The sequence below is a fragment of the Homo sapiens genome, chromosome 12, assembly GCF_000001405.40.
Source record: "Homo sapiens chromosome 12, GRCh38.p14 Primary Assembly".
Taxonomy (NCBI): Eukaryota; Metazoa; Chordata; class Mammalia; order Primates; family Hominidae; genus Homo; species Homo sapiens.
Genome location: NC_000012.12, coordinates 68,430,945 through 68,455,937, shown reverse-complemented (window position 1 = coordinate 68,455,937; position 24,993 = coordinate 68,430,945). Strand labels below are relative to the sequence as shown.

At 39.8% G+C, this 24,993-nt stretch overlaps 1 long non-coding RNA gene across 1 annotated transcript, besides 3 other annotated features; it reads left to right on the top strand.

Moving 5' to 3' along the window:
• Positions 4,066-4,205: an enhancer, noted in NCBI's record as "active region_6638". NCBI's record gives its function as "activates an Ori minimal core promoter by ATAC-STARR-seq in GM12878 lymphoblastoid cells {active_cell/tissue: GM12878}" and the evidence as "EXISTENCE:reporter gene assay evidence [ECO:0000049][PMID:35858748]".
• Positions 4,266-4,595: an enhancer, noted in NCBI's record as "active region_6637". NCBI's record gives its function as "activates an Ori minimal core promoter by ATAC-STARR-seq in GM12878 lymphoblastoid cells {active_cell/tissue: GM12878}" and the evidence as "EXISTENCE:reporter gene assay evidence [ECO:0000049][PMID:35858748]".
• LINC02384 (long intergenic non-protein coding RNA 2384) lies at positions 4,454-24,096 on the top strand. Its single transcript, NR_120458.1, has 4 exons — positions 4,454-4,571; positions 13,797-13,874; positions 22,567-22,654; positions 23,807-24,096. It is a non-coding gene; the product is annotated as a long intergenic non-protein coding RNA 2384 (long non-coding RNA).
• Positions 8,375-8,669: a silencer, noted in NCBI's record as "tiled region #8569; HepG2 Repressive non-DNase unmatched - State 24:Quies, and K562 Repressive non-DNase unmatched - State 6:EnhF". NCBI's record gives its function as "represses a minimal TATA promoter and a strong SV40 promoter by Sharpr-MPRA in HepG2 and K562 cells {active_cell/tissue: HepG2 | K562}" and the evidence as "EXISTENCE:reporter gene assay evidence [ECO:0000049][PMID:27701403]".
• Positions 24,097-24,993: the final 897 nt, after the last annotated feature.

Here is a 24,993-nt window from a genome sequence, read left to right as displayed (position 1 = left end):
GGGCAATTACCATGGGGCTCTGTCTTGTCTTGGCTCCCTTTTGGATGACATAAGATCTTTGTCTTGGATCCAAACAGGATGAAAATAAGTCTCATTTCCTCCCCTCTCCCAACCCCCTTCCTCCCATGATGAAATGAACTATATGGGACTCTTGGTTGACATAAATCTTTGTGCTTTAATAAAAACTAAAGGTTCAGGAGTGGGAAGTGGTTAAGAAGTTGTTTGCTGGGGATTATATCAATAATTCATCCTGTTTAGACTGAAGAATGACAATGATAAAGAAGTTAAAACAAAAAACCAACAAACAAACCCACTAGGGTAAATGGGGCAGGGGAAACTGAGAAGTGAAAATGAAGACAGAATTGAACATATGTGAATATAAACTTTTTTTTTTAACCAGCTGTAAACAAAGTGGTATGAGGAAAGATGGGAAGAGATATAAAAATAAACAGCATTAAGTTAAAGGGGGTAATTATAGGAGCCAAAATGAGAGGTGAGTGTCGCAAAGGATCCAGCTAACTTTAGAGACTTGAGAAGTTTCTTCAAACATTTCCTTTCAGGACACTGTGGGGCTTTCAATCTTTCAGGATTTAACAAGACCCTAAATGTATATGCCTTAAATTCACACAAACACACACTTTTTTTGTTTGTTTGTTTTTTCCTGTTGGGGGAGAAGAGAGAGTAGGAGATGTATTCTTTGTTGTCATTTGGAAAACAGTTTCCGGTACATTTTATTTGCTTTTAAAAGCCCTGGAGAATAGTCAGCAAATAGAAATTGGTTTGCAGAAATAACATGGCTTCCTGGAACTTAGGGGGAAGGAAATGGGTGGTTTCTTTAATTACTATAGTATTTGTTTAGTATAGTGTGTCTTACAACTAAAGATAGAATTCCGGCTAATGTCCAGGAGGGAAGGTGAATTTGGATATTAATGAATTCGGAAGCTTCATACAGTTGTGTTGAATTTACCAGGTTAAGTAAGACAATAATGCTCTTTGTTTTCCCTATCCTGGCCAGATTAGAGTGGACTGAAGTTTGTTTTCAGATATCTAATCAGTTTAAATTCAAGTGCATTATTATTTACATATGAAGAGCTAATGACTTTAATGTAAGCAAGTAAGCTTATTTACAACAAAGAAGTGACTGGGTGACAAGAGGAGTGTCGATATTGCCTTAATTAGTTGATTTGCCAATTATTCTTTTCTGCTGGGTGTGATAGTACTTTTCCTAATGAGCAGCAGAAACAAGAATGCTCCAGCAAAAGCGATTGTAACACAGTAGTAGCAATAGCTTCTTGGCCATTTTAGGTCCATTAGTGCTGAAGTTGTCGACTTTATACAATTTTTCAGACTTCATAAGATTGAAGAACCAAGTATATTCCTGTAGGTTTATCCTATTTATTTATCAGCTATGTGACTTAGCTCAAGTCTGAGAAGCTTAAAAGGCATTTACTGAAAGTGAAAATAAATTAGATGGCAGGTTTGAACTTAAAGAAGAATTAAAAATATGTCCCACAGCAGTGCCATGCATTTATTTCTTCAGGCTTCTTAAAGACATTGATTGGTAATAGATGCATCCGCGCTCATTGGTGTGGGAAGCCCTGGGGGAATGGCTAGAAGACTCCTTCATTTTCTTTTGTGTAGGTTTGCATTTCTTCTGTATTTGAAAGTCGTGATACTGAAGAAATTCAAAAATCCCCAGGAGATTCCATGTCCACATAACAAATGTAAACTTATCTTTACTTTAATGTGTTCACTTCTCATAACTCCTTGACTGGAACCCTTCACTTCATCCAGTCTGAGAGTCTGTAAGTTTCTGCCGCAGGCATGCACATTCCTGACACCACGCTTTTGCTTGGCTGTGCCTCCTGCCCAGAATGCTGTCTATTCTCTTACGCACATCCTCTCTGTATCCCATTTTTGTCCTATTTCTTCCTGATTCAGAGAGGGTGGTGATTGGTGGATATGGCTAACATTTATTAAGTATATCTCATGCTTTACATACTGTGGTGGCAATTTATGTGCATTGTTTAATGATACCCCCGTTTTACAGGTAGGGAAAGAGAGGCTTACAGAATGTCACTGGGCTCACACTAGTAAGTGGCACAAAGCCAGAATATAAATCTAGGTCTTTCTGGTCATTTCTGGACTTAATCTTATAGTGTCTTGAATTGTTTCTTAGCTATTGCATCTACTAAGGCCTTATTTCTCTAACCAGATTGTCAGTGGCTAGAGGCAAGGAGCTTACTTATCTTTTAGTCTGCATAGAGCAGGCCCTCAATAGTGATAGCCTTCTATTGAAGTGAAAAATAACATGTAAAACGTTAAAGGATTTTTATTATTTGGTTAAACACTGGAAGAAAGAAACAAATCACAGGAAACTAATTTCTCAAAATTACTGCATGAACACAAGACACTGTGGTTCTTAGTGTGATCAGCACCACTCACATGGGTGTCTGGAAATGTGGGGGCAGTCCTTAGGTTGTCAGGATTCTGAAGGTATCATGCAGTTATAGTGTGTGGTAGACAGGGACGTCAAACACCTTGCAGAAAGTAGGACCGTTCTGCACCCTGCAGGGGCCCAATAAGGGAAGCAGCACCTGGAAAACATGGACCCAGATGCCAGATTGAGTTCCAACTTGCCTCCACCTTTTACTAACTGAGTAAATCTTTCTCATGTTAACTATGTGCCCTCTCCACTCCTGGCACATGGTTAGTGCCCAAAAGCATCAGCTCATAATTACTATCCTCTAGAAAAGTGTCCCCCATGGCAAGACATGATCTTTGCGGAGTGAGAGAACTTACTAGACTAACAGTAACAGTGTAAAAATCAAGGTGTAATGAACATACAGAGTGGAATAATAGATATTGGAAACTCCAAAAGATAAGAGGGTGGGGTGGGAGTGGGGATGAGGGATGAGAAATTACCTGTTGGGTGCAATGTACAGTATTTGGGTGATGGGTACACAAAGAGCCCAGACTTCACCACTACACAATATATCCATGTAACAAAACTGTACTTGTATTCCCTAAGTCTAAAAAAAGAAACCAAAACTAAAAAAAAAAAAAAAAAAAAGAGAATCAAGGTGTGTCCCAAAACAGTGCTTCTCAAACCTTAATGTGCTTACACATCTCCTAGAAATCTTGTTAAAATGCAGATTCTGATTCGAGGGGGGGCTAGGATGGGACCAGAGTGTCTGCATTTCTGATAAGCTCATGATCCCAGAGCTGCTGTTGGGTACCAAAGTTCTAAAGTACCTTGAGGGAGAAGCCAACTTAATAAGTGAAATAATGAAGCATTTATTACATATCTACTATATAACTTAAATGACAAAAATAGAGTAATGGAGGTTGGATATAAGGAGTATAGAATTTGATTTCTTCACAGAAGGAGCTTCCATCTGCTTTGCCACTTTTATCTGAGAGACAAAGAGAGAGAGCACACAGATTTTCCATAGATAACTATATTTTTCAAGGGAAAAAGGCAGAGAGGTATTTCTTATGTGTGTTTCCTCACACAAAAAGGCCATTTTGGGTCCCCAAATAATTTTAGAGGAGGTATTATAACTAAATAAAGGAAAAACTTGGCAGCCATTCTTGGATGCAGGGTGTAAGCCTTGCATATCTCAGAACTAGTACGAATGGTGTGCATTTGGGTGTTTCTCTGTGTGTGCAGTTTTACATGTCTGTGTATGAGCTGGAAAGTGTATTGGGCCATTGCCAGGGAATTGATTTCTTAAACATCACTAGAGAAGAGGGATATTTTCCCTGATAAAGATTAAAGCGTTAAGTTAAGGGGCAGGAATTCCTAAGGCAGCCTTGACTAGGAACTTTGCATATTACAGGCAGTCGATGTTATTTGAACGTATTCATTGAGAGAAGAGACTACTCATTATCCACTTAAAATACTTCCTGGCTGCAGCATGGTGTTGTACGGAAGCCAAAGCAATTGGCTTTGCATTTGGCCAGCTGATTTAGCAAGAAATTTCGCAAATGATGCAGTCCTTACAGATGGTGCTGTTGGGTTTTTTAGAATGTTTTAAAACACTGATGGATTTGACCATGAACTGAATTTCCAGTCTCTTAGATTCACCTCCAGCCACCCCTTGACGATCTCCAAGGCAACTGGAGACAAGGAGCAGACCTTTTCTGCAAACTTATGATGAATGATTTCCTTTAAAAACTACTCGCATAATAAAAATGTTTTGGTGTAAACTTGGCCAAGGGGAACTCTTGAAACTTTCAGTTTCTTTGCCTAACTCTGAGTTGCTTGAGTCACATTTTTGCATGGTTCTTGATTGACTTTCTGGTGCTCTGCCTGGAGGTCTTTGCTTATCTGTGAGTTGCCTGAGTCACATTTTTACATGGTTCTGGTGCTCTGCCTGCAGGTCAAGAAGGAGCCAGTATCTCCAGGAGGAGTGAGAGAGTGCTCTGCCAGTGTGAAGTGTGAATCCTTGAGAGGCTGTGGCAAGGGTCCATGCCTGAATGTGTAGAACAAGAACAGCTGGAGGCTGTGGCTTTCTCCAGGAAGAGGTTTCTAAATCTGCCTCTTAGAAGATATCAGAAAGTTAAAGGTACTGTACCATCTTCACAGGCCGAATTCTTACTCAGATCTTTACAACAGGGACTGGTCCTGATCTTTGCTGTTGATTGCTTTCTTGTTTTCTTGGTTTCTATTTGAATCGTCACCTTTTATTCGTCTTCCTTGGTGCCTTTTGGTTGTGCTTATTTCGGCTTTATGTAAGCAGCATCTCTGGATGCATAAATGAGGCAGATAAAATTCCCCAGGGTGACTGATCTGCCCTTCATCTATTTTGAGCACTGCAGAGAAGTTACCATGGCCCACAGCATAACTCAATCACTGTAAGCCAGTGAGCACATTCTGAGTTTTTTTTTTTTTAAATAACCTTTCCTGGAGGCATTTGGCATAAGCTAAGCTTAAAGGCACATGATTCAATCATTGATTATTCAAGACATGTCATACTTAGGCTTTTCTAATAACCATATTGTCACTGTCAACTAGATATTGAGCTCTGGTTTCTAATTTTGCACTGGAAGCTGTACAAAGTCTATTGTGTTCTGTGTGTGTGTGTGTGTGGCTCTGGCAATGCAGAAATGGCAACAAGGAAGTATCTAGCACCCATGAAAAGACTGAAGAACACCAATTTGCTTTCTCTCAGTCAAGCCATCTTTCTTAAGACAACCCTTGTCCTGTAGCTTGAACTGTTTAATCCTTGTATATCTTCCATCCCTTCCACCCTTAGGGAACCTCCATAAGGTGAGGACAATGTGTCTTTTTTACCACCTGCTATTGTCTAAATGTTAGTGTCCCCCTCAAATTCATATGTTGGAACTAATACCCAATGTGATAGTATGAAGAGGTGAGTCCTTTTGGGAAGTGATTAAGTCATGGATCAGTGCCTGTGTTAGTCAGGGTTCTCTAGAGGGACAGAACTAATAGGATATATATATATAAAACAAACTCATATATATATATATATATATATATATATATATATATGAGTTTGTTAAGGATATGTAATAGGATATATATATATATATAAAAAACACATTCATATATATATATAAAACACATTCATATATATATATATAAAACACATTCATATATATATATATATATATATATATATATATATATATATGAGTTTGTTAAGTAGTATTAACTTATACGATCATGAGGTCCCATACCAGGCTGTCTGCAAGCTGAGGAACGAGGAAGCCAGTCCAAGTGCCAAAGCTGAAGAACTTGGAATTCAATGTTCAAAGGCAGGAAACATCCAGCAGTGGAGAAAGATTTAGGCTGGGAGGCTAGGTCAGTCTAGCCTTTTCACATTTTTCTGCCTGCTTTATATTCTGGCCACACTGGCAGCTGATTAGATGGTGCCCACCCAGATTAAGGGTGGGTCTACCTTTCCCAGCCCACTGACTCAAATGTTAATCTCCTTTGGCAACACCCTCACAGACACACCCAGGATTAATCCTTTGCATCCTTCAATCCAATCAAATTGACACTCAGTATTAACCATCACAGTGCCCTCTTAAAAGAGGTGCCTTGCCCTTACTGCCATTTGGTAATATAACAAGAAGGCACCAGTTTTGAAGCATAGAGCAAGTCCAGACACCAAGTCTGCTGTTACCTTGATCCTAGACTTTCCACTCTCCAGAACTGTAAGCAATACATTTCTGTTATTTATAAATTACCCATTTAAGGTATTTTGTTATAGTAGCCTGAACAGACTAAGATATCACCATACCTCTGTAGTTTAGCACAGGGCTTAAGCTTAAGGCAGCATTTATTCATTGGTTCATTGATTTATCAGTTCATTTAACAAGCGTTTATTGGTAAACACCAACATTCCAGCTTGTCTTGGAATGAAGTTTCCCCATCTTTGATAGGAATACATGCTTATCACTTCCATGTTTGCTCTGAGAGCTCCCCTATACCTCCTCTACTTCTTGGAAGCATGCTCCTCTAAGGTTGTTAGCTCTGCCCTCCTATCCAGATTTGTTCTTTTCCTTTGCATCTGCAGAATCAGCACTATTTCTATAACAAAGTGGTTCCCCTTACTTCTGAATATCACTGGTTTCTTTTATTAATTTCTTTCATTCAAGGTTAAAGAGGTAGTTATATGATGTGACCTGTGATGGTTTCGTGGTGTGTCTGCTTTGGCTTGGATAAATCACATCCCCCAGAGCTCCTTTTCTAGTATGTTTCTGACTAGGGTGGTCTACAAGGGAGAGTCTCTTGCAAAAATTGGAAGATGGAAGTGAGGCAGCAGCTATTTTGTAGCACGCACGTACCTTCTCCTAATTATTGAAACACTAATCTAGGTGCTGCTGTGAAGGGATTTTGCAGCTGTAAAGTCCCTAATCAGTTGACTTTAAATTAGTCAAAAGAGATATTATTCTATGTGACTTAATCAGTTAAAAGCTTTTTAAAAGAGAGTCTAGACCAGGGGTGTCTAAGGGAGAGAGTACAGTCATGGGTTCTTAGTTTCTGTTTCTCATTGGGCCAGAAAAGCCCCTTCCTCATCCCTCTTTTCTGCTTATTACTAGAGACGGAAACTAAAAACTATGGCTTCAGGTTGCTAAAAGCCTAAAACAAAAACAAACAGAACAACAACTACAAAATAAAGTGGTTTGGATAAGCTTGATCTATACTCTCCCTGAGGTCGGAGATTCCAAGTAGTAGAGCAGAAGGAAAGTTGTAGAACTTTTCTACGTTTTGGGACAAAAACACTCATGTTGTTGCTGATCTGCTGATTTGCCTTGTTGGTGTGAAGCAGCAGCTAGTTTATAATTCCTTTACTTTTCAGATGTATCTACTTCCAATTTCACTGACTCTTGGGTTAAGTGTATGTGTACAGCTCCATGACAAAGAGCCCTGACTTCTGCATGACATCCTCATCACTGAGCTCATCCTTGTGGTAGTCTAGCCTGCTTATGGCTTTCCCTTTCTGATTACCTGCCTTGTGGATGTCAGGCCTGCTTAGCCAGCTCCTACAGTTGTGTAAGATAATTCTTTGTAAAAAATAAATGGATATATTAAAAAACAAAAACAAACAAACAAAAATTTTCTGCTGGTTCTGTTTTTCATGTCAAACCCTGACTGATACATAAACTGAAGAAGCAATTGTTGCCTTATATATCATTCAGTTGGACGGTTTGGAACCCAGATGTCCACCAGCATTCATTCAATTATTCATAACTGTACCATAGTTGACAATATAGCAATAAACAAAGCAGATATGGACCCTGCCCTTGGAGAGTAGATTCTAGCAGGAAACAGATGTTATTTAATATTTATAGGATAATACATTAGCATAGAGTTGTCAGAAGGTGTAACTAGGAGACCCTGCCTGAACTTAGGTGTCAGAGAAGAGAAGTAAGGGCCTGGAAGAAAGAGTGAGGGCCTGACAACAAATGAAAGTAATTCAGGAGGTTCTGCAAAGTTGTCGTTCATGGCAGTAGAAGGGATGAGGCTTGGGAGATAAACTGTAGAGGGCTATGCAAGCCAAGATAAGGATGTCTGACTTTACCCTAAGGGACAAATACTTTTATTTAAAAACCTTCATGTTTTGGAATCCTATATAGTTATTTTATAATGTCACAATGTGGTTATATTTTGAACCTTTGAAGATCCCATGGTGTTAGTGTGTTTGATCAGCCATTCCTGCCCCTGTCCTCTTATTTTTTTGCACATTTTTTACAATCCTCTTGTGTAACCCATGATGCCCTTTCTATTGTGCAAGCATCAGTTGGCTACTGTCATACTAGTCATAGTATTTTTAACTCGTTCTCCTGCCTTATGCTTTGAATTCTCACCCATTGAAAGGAAAAGAAAACAAAACCTGCACTTTTCAAATTAATTTACCTGACAGTTTCCTCTTGTCAACGTTTACTTTCTGCTCTATTTAGATGTACAGAAAAGCTTCCGGAGGGTGGGCATTCCCCAGCCTCATTATTCCTGTTCTTCTGACACCACCTGCGGTGTGGGAGCTTAGCCCTTCCTGAGGCTGTTAACCCTTTCTTACTGCTGAGCCCCCTGATGCTCTAAGGATTTTCTTAATGAAGTAATTGATTTACTTACTGAAGTAAACGCCATCCTTGAAAACTAGAGCAGTAAATACCATCAATTCTATGGACTAGAGAGAGGAAACACTGAAATGGTGCTAGAAGGTGCATGACAAAACCAGTCACAAATCTGAATGAGGTTGAACAGTGTGAACCTAGGGTCAGTATTTTTTTTTTTTTTTTTTTTTTTTTTTTAGACAGGGTCTTACTGGGCAGGAGTGCAGTGGTGCAATCCTAGCTCACTGCGTGTAGCCTTTAAGTCCTGGGCTCAAGCACTCCTCCCGCATAGCTGGAATTACAGACAAGGGCCACTGGGCCTGGCCAGTTTTTGCTTTTTTTTTTTTTTTTTTTTTTTCTCTTTCATTATTTTCAGGTTTCCCTGTAGCTGTCTTTGGGAAAGCAGTGAAGTATAGAGGTTAAGCCAAATTGTAAATTGTAAAGCCAAACTGATTTGGGTTGGGAGTCAAGTTCTACTATAGCCTATTTCTATACTTGTAACATGGGAGTAATATTACTACATGTAATAGGTAAAAAACGTGACATGTGCAAAGTAACTAGCTTAGTGCTAGGCACATAGACGGGGCTCAGTCAATTTGGCATATTAAGCATTATGATCTTTATTTTTCATCTCCAAATATTTATTCTGAAAACTGGAACATGCTGATAAGGTAAGCATGTGACACTGGAAATGCAAAATGAAAATTTACATTCTCTAAGCCACAAAGAGCTACATTCACACAGCACTGGGGGAGGTGGGCAGGAAGAGGATAACCTACTCCCAGCCAAGGGAGGCTTCTGACAACCTTCTCCTAGCAGCAAGGACTCATGTGTGAGGATCTCAGCACCTGAGCACTCACCAGTCCTAAAATCCTGGAGTCTTAGACCCCCAAATCTTAGAATCATCTCTTAACAAAATTTTATTTTTAAATTGACACATAATTGCACATATTTATAAGGTACATAGTGACGTTTTGATACATACAATGTTGAGTGATCAGATCAGGGTAATTAGCACATCCATCATCTCAAACATTTATTATTTCTTTGTGTTGGAAACAGTCAATATCCTCTCTTCTTGCTGTTTGAAAAAACATAATATTGTTAACTATAGTCATCCTACAGTGTCACAGAACACTAGAATTTATTCTTCCTATCTACCTGTAATTTTGTATTCTTTAACAAATCTTTCTCTATCCCCCTGTTCTGACTATTCTTCCCAGCCTCTGGTAACCTCTGTTCCACTTTTTACTTCTCTGAGATCATCATTTTTTAGCTTCCACACTTAAGTAAGAACACGTGGTGTTTCTGTCTGTTCCTGGCTTATTTCACTTAACAGAATGTCTGCCAGTTTCATCCATGTTGCCATGAAAGACAGGATTTCATTATTTGTAATGGGGGGATAGTATTTCATCTCATGTATATACCATATTTTCTTTATCCATTCATCTGTTGTTAAACATTTTGGTTGATTCCTTATCTTGGCTATTGTAAATAGTGGTGCAATAAACATAGGAGTGCTGATATCTCTGTGATATATTCATTTCTTTTCCTTTGGATAAATGCCCTGTAATGGGATTACTGGATCAAACAGTAGTTCCATTTGTAGTTTTCTGAGGAACTTACATACTGTTCTCCATAGTGGCTATAAAGAGTTTTTTTTTGTAAATAGTTCCTTTACGAAAATTAGCCAGGCATGGTGGTATGTGCCTGTAGTCCCAGCTACTAGGGAGGCTGAGACAAAAGAATTGCTTGAACCCAGGAGGCAGAGTTTGTAGTGAGCTGAGATTGCACCACCGTACTCCAGCCTGGGTGATAGAGCAAGGCTCTGTCTCAAAAAAAAAAAAAAAAAAGTTCGTTTTTCTCTACCTCCTTACCTGCATTTGTTATTTTTTGTCTTTTTGATAATAGCCATCCTAACTGGGATGATAGACAATATCTCATTGTAGTTTTCATTTGCATTTCTCTGATGATTAGTGATGCTGAGCATTTTTTCATATATTTGTTGGCCAACTGTACATCTTTTCTGTTTGGATCATTTGCCCATGTTTTAATTGGATTTTTTTTTTCTTGCTTTTGAGATGTTTGAGTTTCTTGTGTATTCTGGATATTAATCATCTGTCAGATGAATTGTTTGTAAATATTTCCTATCATTTTGTAGATTATCTTTTCACTCTGTTGATTGTTTTTCTTTTTCGCTACCCAGAAGCTTTTTAGTTTGATATCATTCTATTTATTTTTGCTTTTGTGTCTTGTGTTTTTGAGGTCTCATTCATAAAGTCTTTTCCCAGACTAATGTCCTGAAGCATTTCCTCTTTATTTTCTTCTAGTAGTTTTATAGTTTTGGGTCTTACTTTTAGGTGTTTAATTCATTTAGGGTTGGTTTGTGTATAGGTGAGATGTGGGGGTCTAGGTTCATTCTTCTGCATATGGATATCCAGTTTTCCCAGCACCATTTATTGTAGAGACTGTCTTTTCCCCTATGAATATTCTTGGTGCCTTTGTCAAAAGCAGTTGGCTATAGATACATGGATTCATTTCTGGATCCTCAGAATTGTTCTCAGTGAGCAATTCTGTTCCATTGTTCTATGTGTGTGTTTTTATACCAGTACCTTGCCATTTTGGTTACTATAGCTTTGTAGTATGTTTTGAAGTCTGGTAGTATGATGCCACCAGCTTTATTCCTTTGCTTAGGATTACTTTGGCTTAGGATTACTTATGTCTCATAAAAATTTTAGTGTTGTGTTTTTCTATTTCACTGAAGAATGTCATTGCTGTTCTAATAGGGATTGCAGTGTATATTTCTTTGGGTAGTACAGTCATTTAACAATATTAATTTTCTCAGTCTCTGAACATGGAATTTCTTTTCATTTTTTTGTGTCCCCTTCAATTTCTTTCATCACTGTTTTACAGTTTTCTTTGTAGATGTCTTTCACCTCCTAGATTAAATGCATTCCTAGGTAGAGTGTGTGTGTGTATGTGTGTGTACTTATTGTAAATGAGGTTGCTTTCTTGATTTATTTTTCAGCTAGTTTGTTGTTTGTATATAAAGATGCTACTGATTTTTGTATGTTAATTTTTGATATGGTTTGGCTGTGTCCCCATTCAAATCTCAGCTGAATTATATCTCCCAGAATTCCCACATGTTGCGGGAGTGACCTAGGGGGAGGTAATTGAATCACGTGGGCTGGTCTTTCCCATGCTATTCTCATGATAGTGAATAAGTCTCATGAGATCTGATGGGTTTATCAGGGGTTTCTGCTTTTGCTTCTTCCTCATTTTCTCTTGCCACTGCCATGTAAGAAATACCTTTTGCCTCCCACCATGATCCTGAGGCCTCTTCAGCCACGTGGGACTGTAAGTTCAATTAAACCTCTTTTTCTTTCCAGTCTTGGGTATGTCTTTATCAGCAGCATGAAAATGGACTAATACAGTAAATTGGTACCGAGAGTGGGGTGTTGCTGAAAAGATACTCAAAAATGTGGAAGCAACTTTGGAACTGGGTAACAGGCAGAGGTTGGAACAGTTTGGAGAGCTCAGAAGAAGACAAGAAAATGTGGGGAAGTTTGGAACCTCCTAGAGACTTGTTGAATGGCTTTGACAAAAATGCTGACAGTGATATGAACAATAAGGTCCAGGCTGAGGTGGTCTCAGATGGAGATGAGGAACTTGTTGGGGACCAGAGCAAAGGTGACTCTTGTTATGTTTTAGCAAAGAGACTTGCAGCATTTTATCCCTGCCCTGGAGATCTGTGGAACTTGGAACTTGAGAGAGATGATTTAGGGTATCTGGCGGAAGAAATTCCTAAGCAGCAAAGCATTCAAAAGGTGACTTGGGTGCTGTTAAAAGCATTCCATTTAAAAAGGGAAACAGAGCATGAAAGTTCAGAAAATTTGCAGCCTGACAATGCAGTAGAAAAGAAAAATCCACTTTCTGGAGAGAAATTCAAGCCAGCTGCAGAAATTTGCATAAGTAGCAAGGAGCCTAATGTTAATACCCAAGAACATGGAGAAATGTCTCCAGGCCATGTCAGAGACCTTCACGGCAGTCCCTCCCATCACAGGCCTAGAGGACCAGAAGGAAAAAGTGGCCTGGGGTCCCTGTGCTGTGTGCAGCCTAGGGACTTTGTGCCCTGTGTCCCAGCCACTCCAGCTGTGGCTGAAAGGGGCTAACATATAGCTTGGGCTGTGGCTTCAGAGGGTGGAATCCCCAAGCCTTGGTAGCTTCCACATGGTGTTGAGCCTGTGGATGCGTAGAAGTCAAGAATTGAGGGTTGGGAACCTTCGCCTAGATTTCAGAAGATGTATGGAAATGCTTGGATGCCCAGGCAAAGGTTTGCTGCAGGAGTGGGGCCCTAATGGAGCACCTCTGCTATGGCAGTGCAGAAGGGAAATGTGGGGTCAGAGCCCCCACACAGAGTTCCTACTGGGGCACTGCCTAGTGGAACTGTGAGAAGAAGGCCACCTTTCTCCAGACCCCAGAATGTTAAATCCACTGACAGCTTGCACCGTGCTCCTGGAAAAGCCACAGACACTCAACAACAGCCTATAAAAGCAGCTGAGAGGGAGGCTGTACCCTGCAAAACCATAGGGGAGGAGCTGCCCAAGACCACGGTAACCCACCTCTTGCATCAGTGTGACCTGGATATGAGACCTGGAGTCAAAGAAGATCATTTGGGAGCTTTAAAATTTGACTGCCCTGCTGGATTTTGGACTTGCATGGGCCCTGTAACACCACCCCCGCCTTTTTTTTTTTTTTGCCAATTTCTCCCATTTGGAACAACTGTGTTTACCCAATACTTTTACCCCCATTGTATCTAGGAAGTAACTAGCTTGTTTTTGACTTTACAAGCTTATAGACAGAAGGGACTTTCCTTGTCTCAGATGAGACTTTGAACTGTGGACTTTTGGGTTAATTCTGAAATGAGTTAAGACTTTGGGGAACTGTTGGGAAGGCATGATTGGTTTTGAAATGTGAGGGCATGAGATTTGGAAGGGCCAGGGGCGGAACGATATGGTTTGGCTGTGTCCCCATTCAAATTTCAACTGAATTGTATCGCCCAGAATTCCCACATGTTATGGGAGGGACCCAGGGGGAGGTAATTGAATCATGGGGGCCAGTCTTTCCCATGCTATTCCGTGATATTGAATAAGTCTCACAAGATCTGGTGGGTTTATCAGGGGTTTCTGCTTTTGCTTCTTCCTCAGTTTCTCTTGCTGCCGCCGTGTAAGAAGGACCTTTTGCCTCCCACCATGATTCTAAGTCCTCCCCAGCCACGTGGAACTGTAAGTCCAATTATACCTCTTTTTCTTCCCAGTCTTGGGTATGTCTTTATCAGCAGTGTGAAAACAGACTAACATAATTTTGCATTCTGCAACTTTACTGAATTCATTTATCAGCTCTAAAAGTTTCCGGTAGAGTCTTTAGGTTATTCTATACATACGATCATATCTACAAACAGGAACAATTTTACTTTCTCCTTTCCAGTTTGGATGCCTTTTGTTTCTTTCTCTTGCCCAGTTGCTCTGGCTGGGCCTTTTAGTACTATATTGAATAAGAGTGGTAAGAGTGGGCATCCTTGTCTTGTTCCAGTTCTTAGGGGAGAAGATTTCAGATTTTTCCAGCTCAGTTTAATGTTAGCTGTGGGTTTGTCATATATGGTTTTTATTACGTTGAGGTATTTTCTTTTCATACCTAATTTATTTAAAGTTTTTATCACGAAGTGAAGCTGAATTTTATCAAATGCTTTATCTTCATCTATTCATATGATCATGTGATTTTTGTACTTCATCTGTTGATGTGAGGTAATACTTGTATTGATTTGTATATGTTGAACCAGGCTTGCATCCCTGGTATGAATCTCACTTGATTGTGGCATATAATCTTTTAGATGTGTTGTTGGATTCAGTTTGCTAGATGTTGTTGAGGATTTTTGCATCTGTGTTCATGAAGGATATTGGTCTGTGGTTTCCTTTTTTTGTTGTGTCCTTTATCTGTTTTAGGTCTCAGCGTTATTAAGCATTATGATCTTGAACAAGGTGACTTCTCCAGAGGCAAAGGGGGATTTAACTGCCATTTACTCAGCAGTTTGCTCAATAGTTTATCTTTCCCCTTTTTACTCATTTTCATACAATGGGAGTAAGAAGCCTTGTTTGCTTTAAGAGCAGTACCTGATTTCTCAAGTTCCAAATCAGGAATCATGATAGAAAGCCAGGTTCATGAGTTGTGAGGATCCTCGTAGAACTTGCCCAGATTATTTTAAAAGTGCATTGGGCCGGGCACGGTGGCTCACGCTTGTAATCCCAGCACTTTGGGAGACTGAGGCTGGCAGATCACTTGAGGTTAGGAGTTTGAGACCAGCATGGCCAACATTGTGAATCCCTGTCTCTACTAAAAATACAAAAATTAACCAGGTATGGTGGAACACACCTGTAATCTCAGCTACTTGGGAGGTTGAGGCAGGAGAATTGCTTGAATCTGGGAGGTGGAGGTTGCAGTGAGCTGAGATCGTGCCACTGCACTCCAGCCTGGGAGACAGAGTGAGACTTTGTCTCAAAAAAAAAAATAAAAAGTGCATTGGAATGAAACATTTTCAGAAATAGATAGTGGTAATGGCTTACAATATTGAAATTGTATAATTAATGCCACTGAATTGTACACTTAAAAATGGTTAAAATGGTAAGTTTTATGTCATCTATATTTTACCATGATTAAAAAAATACTAAAAGACCAAACCAAAAAAAATAAAAAAAAAAAAACCCAAAAACAAAAAAGCAAATTGGAGACAGGCCTGCTGGCTGTCTGAATAATCCCCTCCGCCCACTAGCAAATGTAGGTTAGCTCAGTAATAATGTGACCCACTTAAGAACTGTATGGGGACTATTGTTGCTAACTGATTCCAGAAGGTGAGTTAGAAAAGCCCATATCTAACCTCCTCACTTTACAGAAGTGAGGTCGGAGACCCTGCAAGTGTGACTTGCTGAAGACTGTGTAGCACCCGAATACTCTGGGAACGAGCTCACCAATGCTGCACAACACCATGCTGACTCACTGAGGCCACTGGAACATTCCAGGCCTTCTGAGCACTGAAATGAGGGCTCTTTTTGTCCATTCTTACTCCAGGTGCCTAATCCTTGTCGCTAAGCATCCAGTTGCTCAGAGTTCTAAAATTGTACAAAGCAGGACCAAGGCATTAGGTTTCAGTCACAGCCAAGCAAGTGTGGACAGTGAGTAATGTCTGAAGATTCCATAGCTTGATCACAGCTACTTTTGTCCTGCTGTCTGAACTCCATTGTCAATTCTCAAACAGGCCACACTCTCATGATAGGGGCCATTCATATGCTGTTCCTTCTACCTTGAATTCCCTTCTCTACTTTGATATTTCCTATTCTTCAGGTTTCAGGTGAAACATAGCTTTGTTTAGAAAGCTTTCCTATCCTCCCAGCCTATGTTAGCTCAGCCTATTGTGTAATTTCTTAGTAACCTATACTTCTTTGTAGTCTTCATCATACTGGTAATTATTTGTATTATGTCTGAGTTCCACACGTGAGGGCAGGATCTTGGTCTGCCCTGTCCGCCACTGTTTCCCAAGAACCTAGCATAGGGTCTGTCTGGCACATTTGTGTTCATTAAAGAAAAAAAATAAATTAACCCTGTCTTCTTATGGAAGAATGAAGATAATGATATAGCCTTACTTGTATTAACAGGCATGTGTGGCTGAAGGAAGTAGGGTAGACACTCCCTTTAATCTGTAGGCATTAGTTGATACTCCAAAGAAATATGCAAATGAGCAGGGTGGAGGGGCTGAGTGCGACTGCTCACATTTGCATTGTATGCATGTGAGAGTAAACAGTAAATCAATAGCAGAGGGGATATAGGTTGGATATAAGGCAATGTTTTCTGGTATGATATTAAAGATTGTTAAAAATGGGTCACATAACAGAGGAAGGTTGTGGAAACACCTTCCCTAGCGGCTTCAGAAAACAGGCCAGAGTTCCATTTTAGCCGGTTATTTTAGGCCTACTCCAGGCAGCAGGGTAGACTAGACATCCTCTTAGGGTCCAATCGTTCCGTTCCTCTGACCCATAATAAATAAAGCTATAGATGCCGTTGTTGCCAATACATACACAAATGCAAAATGCTTCTACACAGTCTTGTGGCTGTAAATGTTGCTAGTTCATCTTCTACTTAGTGTTCTGAATTCACCTTTTGTTTAGAAAATTACCTCAGTCTTTAAGCACGGCAATCTCTTTCTCTAAAGGATTTATTCTATATTTCAAAGCAAGAACTGCAATGCATACTAATTTAACGTTTGTATTGACACTTACCTTAAAATGTGGAGAATACAAGCTAGGAAAAAGGATTTAAAAAATAGCCTGCTAGTCCGACTAAGTTCCAGCATACAAACAGAGTGATCTGGACATGTTGTGTGTCATAATCCCAGTGAGGAGGCTGGGACACATTTTCTTTCTCTGCCTTTAAAGTGAAGGAAGGGAATGGTCTTGAATATGCAAATGAATCTAATTTAATTAACTTTTACGACCACAGCTCCTTTGAGATAATCATGGGAGCCAATTCGATTTCCTTAAAATTCAGCCATTTCCCTAAAGCCTCCATGAGACACCCTTGTCTTTTCCAAGAAAAAAACAAAAACAAAAGCAAAATGTGAAAAGATCTAATCAGAAACAATGAAAAAGAGTAAGTTATCTGCTGCAGTTCTTCTATTTGGTCTCACCAGAAGCTGCTCACACAGTCATTTACTTCAGTTTGTCACTCCTGAGTCTGGCGCTGCCAGCCGCAGAGTGAAATCATTTCAGGTCAGTCATGTAACTGCTGACCCAGAGTTTATCCTAAACTGGGGCTATGAAAGGTAAAGGTAATGATATTTCATGCTTCTGAGCAAAAACTCAAGCCTCGTGAGGCTGAGGGAAGAATTGCCTTGACCTCAGGCCAGAGATGAAGACGAATTTATGCCACTTCTTCCTTTGCCATAATATTCTTTCCTTGTCCTCCCCCTGATTACAAATATAATACATATTTATTGGCCAGGTGCAGTGGCTCATGTCTGTAATCCCAGCATTTTGGGAGGCCAAGGCAGGCAGATTGCCTGAGGCCAGGAGTTCGAGACCAGCCTGACAAACATGGTGAAACCCCATATTTACTAAAAATACAAAAATTGGCTGGATCTGATGGTACGCCTGTAATCCCAGCTACTTGGGAGGCTAGGGCAGGAGAATCACTTGCACCTGGGAAGTGGAGGCTGCAGTGAGCCAAGATCGTGCCACTGCAGTCCAGCCTGGGCAACACAGCAAGACTCTGTCTAAAAAACAAAAAACAAAAAGCACTCCATATTTATTGTGAAAAATAAAAAAGAGAACAGAATGACTAAAAGAAGCTGCTCAGATCTTGGAAGAGTTTGGAAGGCTCTTTCCCAATTTTGATTCCTTCTTTTCCCCTTAATAAGCAGACTTTTAGAGGACTTTGTGGGTGGTGGTTGTGGTGGTAGTGGAAGACGGGGGTGCTAAGTTTGTGAAGTGGGGATGTTACATTCAAGTTCTTTTTCTTTTTTTTTTCCTTAAAAATTTTTTTTTATTGTGGTAAAATACTCATAACATTTACCATTGTAATCATTTTTAAGTGTGCAGTTCTGTGGCATTAATTACATTTACATTGCTGTTACCCATTGCTGTCATCCCCCTCCAGAAATTTTTCATTTTTCCCAACTGAAACTCTGTGCTCATTAACGATAACTGTCCAGCTCTTGGCTACCACTATTCTACTTTCTGTCTCTATGAATTTGACTATTCCAGGTACCTCACATCAGTGGAATCATACAGTATCTTTTTGTGATTTGCTTATTTCAGTTAGCTTAATGTCCTCCAGTTTCATCCATGTTGTAGCATGTATCATGTCAAAATCTCCTTCCTTTTTAAGGGTGAGTAATATTTCATTGTACATATATATCACATTTGCTTTTCCATTCATTTGTCAATTGACACTTGGGCTGCTTCCACCTTTTCGCTGTTGTGAATAGTGCTGCTATGAACACGGGTATACAAATATCTCCTTGAGACCCTGCTTTCAATTATTTTGAGTATACACTCAGAACCTTCCTTTTCTTTTAAACCTATATTCCACACCACTCACCTCTCTTGTTTCTAACACTATGCAATTACATAGCTGCCCATGGTTTCTAAATCCTGGCCCCTGAATCATTGTTCATGGTTGAAAAGTATGTGGTGGTTCCACCCATTATCCGATCCACCTGAAAGTGCCTTGAGACACGTTCGGCAATGTGCAATTGGGTTTCTGGGAGCTATGCTACCTGCTAGTTCTAGAAACATTAAATGTCACATGACTTAAATATTGCAATTAATTTTAGCATGACCAGAGGCAATATTTCTACTTCTTCACATAGGCGAGCTATGTCTAAAACAAATATCTTCTGAAGAGTAGGTCACAGTGCTGTGCATTACATGATTATATAATTGTGCAGGCTACTAATTGGAATGTAGAGTTAAAGTTACTGTAGGAGGTTTTTCAACTGAGTAGATTAAAGAACTCAAAGTTTATATTTCCTTTAGTTAGATTTTTAAAATAATAAAGTACTTAAATTCTAACAAAAGATACACAATTATAAAATAATTAGAAAGAAAAAAGATGATGTGATAAACAGACCACTTCTGTGCTTATAAGACAAAAGGAGAAAGAAAGGTAATAAAAAACAATTAAAACCAAAGTTATTTTCCCACTGATAATTTTATCTGTCTTTCTTTTCAAGTCCTTTAGTCTCAAAATTATTCACTCTTCCATGTCCTAGTCCAGGATGAATATTCTGTGCCTGAATTATTGCAATTTCAACAGCTAAAATCTATTGAACACTTAATTCCATGCCAAACACTGTTAGCCTAAAGCATGTATCAGCTTACTTTAACCCTTGTATCAACATTCTGAAGTCAGTTTTATCACTCGGGGCAACTGAATATCTAATATTCATTCTCCTCTCTTCTTGCTTGCCCACAGAGTGCAATTTTGCTTGGAGTATCAATGTATTCAATTAAATACTCATGTTCCCAGTCTCCATCACTGCTAAGAGGTCCGGTGATCCAGTTCTAGCAAATGGGATGTAAGCAGAAGTCTGCTGGGGGCTTCTGGGAAGCTTTTTTCTTTCCTGATAAAATGAGACACACATAGCTAGATTAAAGCTCTTGACGTGCCCCTGCTTCTTTCTGTTTTAAGTCTATGACCTAAGACAGAAATGTTATGGCTGGAGCTATAGCAGCCACCTTAGAAACACAAGGCAATGAGCCAACTTGCTAAGAAAGGCAGAGTTGAAAGCTAGAGAGAACCTGGAATCCTGGTGGCATTGCTGAGCAGTTGAATCATTCCCAGCAACTGCCTACCTCTCTACCTTCAGTTATAGGGGAAAAATAAACTATTTATTTAAGCTATGAGTAGACGGGTGTTTAGTTACTTGCAGCTGTAAGCCTTCCTAATCCCATGTTTCAGTTAAGGAAATAAAAGCCTAAGTAACTTACTAAAATATATATGATCCTTCAGTGGTGATATGGTGATTTGAACTTATATTATCTGACCTAGAGTCTAAGCTTAGTCTCTTAGACATGGTTCTATGTCACATCCCCCTTGTGCTATATTGCAAGGTCTACTTATGAGTTTTTCAGGAAATAAACTTGATCTTGAGCCTCCCTCTTACTTCTTCTTCTCACAGATGCCAGTGTGATACATCTAAAGCCAGATCTGACCTTCTCACTTTCTTGCTTAAAACCATCAACAATATTTCTTTCTGTAGAGCTGGGATGTAACCTCAACTGTCTTGAGAGCCAGGTAGATAAAATAATTGATAGAGGCAAGTAGATCATAAGAAAATCAATTTTGTTGGTGTATTAGTTAGCTACTGCTGCGTAACAAATTGCCCCCAAAACTTAGCAGCTTAAAACAATAAATGCTCATTTCTTATATGGTTTCTGAGGGTCAGGAATCTGGGAGCAGCTTAACTGAATGGTTCTGGCTCAGGTCTTTCATGAGTTTGCAGTCAAGATGTTGATGGGGGCTTCAATCATTTGACTACTAGAATGGAGCTGGAAGTTCTGCTTCAAAAAGACTCACTCCCATGGTGATTGCTGGAAGCTTCAGTTTGTCACCATGTGGGCCTCTCCTCACAACATGTCAGCTGTTTTCTTCCAGAGCCAAGTAATCTAAGAAAGGCAGAATGACAGCTAGCCTGGGAAATGGAATAACATCACTTCTGTCACATTCCATTGGCCAAACATATCAAACTTGATACAGCATGAGAGGGGACTATACAAGAATGTGGATACCAGGAAATGAGGATCAGTGGGGACCAGCTTGGAGGCTGACAACAACAGGTAGATATTGGACAAAAGGGTAATATTTGCTATTTAGTTTCAGCCAATTGTTCCACTACGTGGAATACAGGTCTTATGTTACTGGATTTTCCCATTTCTCAAATAAAGTTAGATATATGAGTTTCTGAGTTATATCCCATGGTAGTAAATGCTGACTCAGAATTGTAAAAAATCCTGTGTAGGTCAAATAAAATACAAATGCAGTTCAGATATGGCCTGTGAGTTGCCATTTTGCAACCTCTGTGGCCCATAGCTTGGAAAACATATGTAGGTCCAATTCCAATCTGTGATACTGCCTGAAGTGATATTTTCAGTAGGATTTTGAAGACAAGTCCAGGCCTAGCCAGGAATGTACCATGGTAATTTAATAATATCTTCCATGGATAAAGGAGGGGAGAGTGATGACATATGTGCCTCAGATTGACAGAGACGGCTATATAATTCATTACCCAAACTAGGATACTTTTGAGAGTAAAGGGAGGTGCTATATTAATTATGCTGACATAGTGACCATAAATTAGGACTGACTCAGGCAAACCAGGATGTGTGGTCACCACCTGCACTGCCCTTAGTGAAACCTTCCCACTTCTGAACCCCGCTGCCCACACTCCTGCTGTTCCCCCGCTCATCCTATCTTCTCTTCCCCACTCATCTGTTTCCTCCTGGACTTCAACTTCTTCAAGTTCCAGTGGAAGTATCACTTTTTTTCCTGTTGTCTTCACCTCCTCCCCTCCTTTTCAGGTGAATCACTCTTTTACCAGAGTTTTGTAGTATTTTATACATATCTTTAATGCAGCATTTCTGACAGCAACCTATGCACAGGGGCCAGTGGTTACTCATTTAGGATTCTCAGTACCTATCTCAGCATCTGGCTTAAAGTAGGTGCTTGATGATAATTTATTGGAATTTTATTTTGAATCTCACCTCCCCTCTTTTTCTCTAATACCCTCTGCAGGAGATGATAATGAATAGTGAAAAATGCCAAGCAGACAATAAGCAGAAGGAACAGAGGAAATCCACAAACTGGATAATTGTTTCTTGAGTAACTGACCATCAATCTAGATAGTGGTTGCAGTAATTTCAAATTCTTCTCTTCCTTTTCACTTCAGGTGAATGAAACCTGTTTTCACCGAGAATGAGCTTCTGTCTTGATAGTAAGAATCGCTACTATCGCCCATAACGTATAGACTAAATTCTCAGTGTATGTATGTGTTTTATAAAAGCTATCCTCTAGGAAGTTCATAACTAAGCAGTGAAAATCAATCTCAGGCATACACAGGACACGTAGGAAGATTTATTCTCTCATGTACGCATCTAACATTTAGTAATACTTGTGCATTGTCTATAAACCTCAGGGGGGAAAATAGAAACTGCTGGATAGCAATGCTCTCTATAAATGCCCATGAGTGAAATTAAACTGGAAGATGTTAAAGGGAAAGCTCCGTGGGACTGAGGTGTGTTTTTGTTAGAGATGGGTAGAGTGAATGGTAGGACGCCATTATAATCCAACAAATTATTATTAATTGCAATCCTAATGTCAGAGAGGTGGGGTGGAGCAAAGGATAACCACGTGCTACCTTTTCTTTGGTAGGCTTTCATTTGGTCTCTTTTCGAATCAGAAGACCCAGAAAACTTGGATCCACTTCTGGCTCTCATCCCTCTGGGCAGTGTGATTTGGAGTAAGTCATAACTTTTCTCTGTGCTATCTTCCTGTTTAGGAAGGGGCTACTAGTAGCACCAATTTCACAAGGTTATATGAATAAGGTATGTGAAAAGACTTTGTAGATTGGGGTGAAGTCTACAAATGGTAGTTAGGACTATTCTCAGGCTGATGTTCAGGCAGCGTGTTGGAGAGAGAGTGGGAGGGAGGAACAGAATGGAGAACCATACTTAAGCCGCCCCCAGGCCTCCTCTGAAACCCTCCCATGAAAGCAGGTTAATAATACTACCCAATAAAGCAGGAACACTTAGAAATTAGTCTTGAACAAGATTAAGTTTGCCAAGGAGGGCTGGTCCTGACATCACATGCTTTAAACCTGTGGTTGGCAGCCAATTGGTTGCTCTATTATTACCTGCTCTGGAGAGGGTGAGTCTACAGTGGAATGCTCTTTCCTTGGTTCAAGCTGTTTCTGCTGAGTCCCATAGAGTTGATTATAGTTCTTATACTCTGTAACTGGCTGTTTCATTCTTGACTCACCTCCAGACTCATAAATATCCCACAGAAAACACAGAGGCTTTAAAAGTTGCCTATCTTTTAACCTTGTGCTGTAATATGTTTTGTAGAATTGCCAAGACATACAGTATTTTTCCTGCCTTTCCAATACCTATTCAGGAGCAAAAACCATGATAAACTCCCTTTGCATCTTTTGTAAGAGAGCTAGACAAACGCCGGAGAGTTTCTCTGCAGTTGTGTGACCTTGGGTAGTTTCTTCAACTACAGAAAGAGAGGTAATAATAACTAATGTGGAGGCTGTTGTGAGCATGAGGAATAATTTAAGGAAGAGCACCTGGTACATGGCAAATGTCCCATAAACATAATTGCTGTTGTTATTAATAATAACGTGAAAAGCATTCAGAACAAAACATTTGAAATGAGTCCCGGAAAGATTAATTTATACTTAATAGTCAAGAGACTATCTCTCAATATTTTCTATGTGCTGATTTAGAAGAAAGTCCCTGCTCTAGCTGGAGAGACAAATGTCACACACAGAAATTTGAATAATGCAATAGATGGAGGACATTTCAATATATTAAAAAACTATTAAAGAAGATAACCCAAGATGGACCGAGTGTACCTACAACGATTTTGTTGTTGTTTTTTTGTTTTTCAGTTGAGCAGATGCTCCGGCTGCCACTCCATCATATATTGGAAACAGCATTACTTTATAGTAAATCATGACCACGGTGTATGGCAATGAAGTTGCATCTGAAGCAGCCGGCACCCTATGTGCTAGCTGGCTTTTAGACCAGGAGACTGTGAATCTGTGGTCAGGATCTCTTTAGGGCTGCTAAATATATACTACCCACTATCACTCGCTGGAGCTGCAGACCCTAGTTTTAGAGTTTCACTTCTTAAAGACCTTCATCCTTATTAAAATGGTAATATCCTTACTGTCATCAATCACTGACACATTGGTATGAGTGAGTTTGAGTCTGGTTTGAAGAGTAGGTTTACTGGAGGAGGAGGCTCACAGGGAAGCTGGGAGGGAACCCACAGCTACTCTGCAGAGAAGGAGAGAGGGAGGTGAGGTGTGGAGGCAAGGGGAAGAGAGGGTGGCTATACTAACAGTCTCCTGGCTAGAGAGGAGGATTGGACCATTTTGCATTCTTTTTTTTTTTTTGAGACAGAGTTTCACTCTGTCGACCAGGTTGAAGTGCAGTGGCACAATCTTGGCTCACTGCAACTTACATCTCCCCTGTGCAAGTGATTCTAGAGCCTCAGCCTCCTGAGTAGCTGGGATTATAGGTGTGTGCCACCATGCCTGACTAATTTTTGTGTTTTTAGTAGAGACGGGGTCTTGCCATATTGCCCAGGCTGGTTTTGAACTCCTGGCCTTAAGTGATCCACCCACTTCAGCCTCCCAAAGTGCTGGGATTACAGGTGTGAGCCACTGAGCCTGGGCTATTTTGCATTCTTAAAGTAGCTTTATCGTTCATGCCTCTTCTCCTCTATGCTAGCACTGGTTATACTTACAAAGATGGAGCATGATTTTCTTCCTTATTCTTCTCTTTGTTCTAGGAACCAGAAAGAACAGGTGTTAATCTTATTAGCAAGGAAAGGAGGCCTCAGCAATAGCGAGAAACCGAACTTATTTGTGAGGCCTTGCATTTTGATGTGAATTGTTTCCAGGGATTTAAAAATATTCAGTAAAACACAAAAAAAGTAATGAAAATTTTTTAATAGCCTGAGGTGAGTATAGTGTAGTTCTTCTGGTGGGAAAATTATATAACGTTAAATCATCCTTCTTCATGAAGATATATGTATTCATATATGAAACTGAGGTTTCATAGGTTGTTG